The sequence below is a fragment of the Homo sapiens genome, chromosome 7, assembly GCF_000001405.40.
Source record: "Homo sapiens chromosome 7, GRCh38.p14 Primary Assembly".
NCBI lineage: Eukaryota > Metazoa > Chordata > Mammalia > Primates > Hominidae > Homo > Homo sapiens.
Genome location: NC_000007.14, coordinates 144,871,940 through 144,873,949, shown reverse-complemented (window position 1 = coordinate 144,873,949; position 2,010 = coordinate 144,871,940). Strand labels below are relative to the sequence as shown.

General features: G+C 41.6%; 1 annotated feature.

The window, feature by feature from the left end:
- Positions 328-528: a silencer, noted in NCBI's record as "peak6812 fragment used in MPRA reporter construct". NCBI's record gives its function as "represses an SCP1 promoter by STARR-seq MPRAs in K562 erythroleukemia cells {active_cell/tissue: K562}" and the evidence as "EXISTENCE:reporter gene assay evidence [ECO:0000049][PMID:32103011]".

Sequence of the window (2,010 nt, the reverse complement as noted above, 5' to 3'; positions counted from 1 at the left end):
ACGAAATCTGTAACTTCAAAAATAGGATAGTTTGCTGCTCCAAAAATGATGTAAGATTAGGTGTTTGAAACAAAATTCCTCATTTGTAAAATAAGTTTGTGTATTGGTTCATTTTCACACTGCTATAAAGATACTACTAGAGACCGGGTAATTTATAAACTGAAGAGGTTTAATTGACTCACCTTTCCACATACGGCTCGGGTGGCCTCAGGAAACTTAAAATCACGGCAGAATAGGAAGCAGCCACTCCCCTCACAAGGTGGCAGGCCAGCGTGAGCAAGCGCAGGGAAACTGCCCTTTATAAAACCATCAGATCTCGTGAGACTTATTCAGTATCACGAGAACAGCATCGGGAAAACCACCCCACGATCCAATCACCTCCCACCAGGTCTCTCCCGCAACACGTGGGGATTACAATTCAAGATGAGATTTGGGTGGGGATACAAAGCCTAACCATATCAGCTGGGTTCTGGTAAACCTCACACTGATGGGATGTCAGTAAGACAATAAACTAGAGAGAGGCTTTTCCTGCTGGGTGGGTAAATATTTCTCCCCTCAAGGAGTGGAAGTGGGAGATGGCGTTCTGATTGACTTAAAAGTATATTGTTGCCAGGTGCAGTGGCTCATGCCTGTAATCCCAAAACTTTGGGAGGCCGAGGCGGACGGATCACTTGAGGCCAGGAGTTCGACACCAGCCTGTCTAACATGGCAAAACCCCATCTCTTCTAAAACATATAAAAATTATCCGGGTGTGATGGTGGGCGCCTGTAATCCCAGCTACTTGGGAGGCTGAGACACAGGAATCGCTTGAACCAGGGAGGCAGAGGTTGCAGTGAGCCAAGACCGCACCACTGCACTCCAGCTTGGATGACAGAGTGAGACTCCATATCAAAAAAAAAAAAAAAAAAAATCACATTGTTGATTCAATTGTATGATTATAATACTTTATGATGTTTATTAGTTCATATATATTTTAAGTCAAGTAAAAGTAATCAAGTGGATTGTTCTCCCTGAATATCCAATTTATAGAATCCTGAGTTTGTCAAGTTTAGTTACCAGATGCCTAGCACCTTATTTTCACCTGGAGGACATATCCACAGGACAGGAAACACTGGTGGTGGGTGGGGGGAGTGAGGATGTAGCAGGATGGAGCCAAGATGCATTACTTCTTTTTTTAAAATGCTACGGAACAAAAACCACAGCTAAACATAAATACCATAAGATTAAAAACATGTAGTGGAATGTTTTAATGTGGAATACCCAGCATGGAATACCTTCTGCCTTGCCTGGCAAACTTTTACTTTCTGTTTATGGCTAGAAGCTTCCTCCATAAGCAACTATTTCATGGCCCCTCCAGGCATCCTATCTATTTGTCTCTTTGCCACCACAACAATTTGAACTTACTGTTGAAAGTACCAAGTTCATCATGGTGTGATTTTAATAACTGAATACAGCAATCTCCCAATTATATTTTGAGCCTCTCCCAGGAAGAGTGTTCTATTAATCCTCTTAGTCTTTCTGGGTAGTGCAGTGACAGGGAAGGGAAGCTTACAGATGAGCGTGGTAAACACAATGAAAATGAACAGAAAATATTTTAGTAAGGTATAGGCAGGAGACCCTATCCAGTGCACCCCTCACTCAGGGAAAGACTAAAAATCTAACTCGAGGATTAACTAGGCTCAAAATCCAGTTGCAAGATAAAGATAGAGGAGACTTGTCGGGGCTCTCAGATTTTTGTCAATGTGTGAAATTTCCCCCGTACAGAGGTTAAGAGCACTGGCTTTAAAGTCAGGCAGCCTGGAATGTACTAATTATAAGGCTTAAGGCAAGTCGCTACCTCCTGAAGCTTAGCTCCTCATCTGTGAGATAGGGACAGTAATAGTTTCCACTTCAACAGATTGTTGTGAAAATTAAATAAGCAAATGAAATAAGTACCATCCTCAGCACTCAATAAATTACTTACTACCACTATTATTATTATTGTTATTATCTTCAAACCAGATTTGTAGA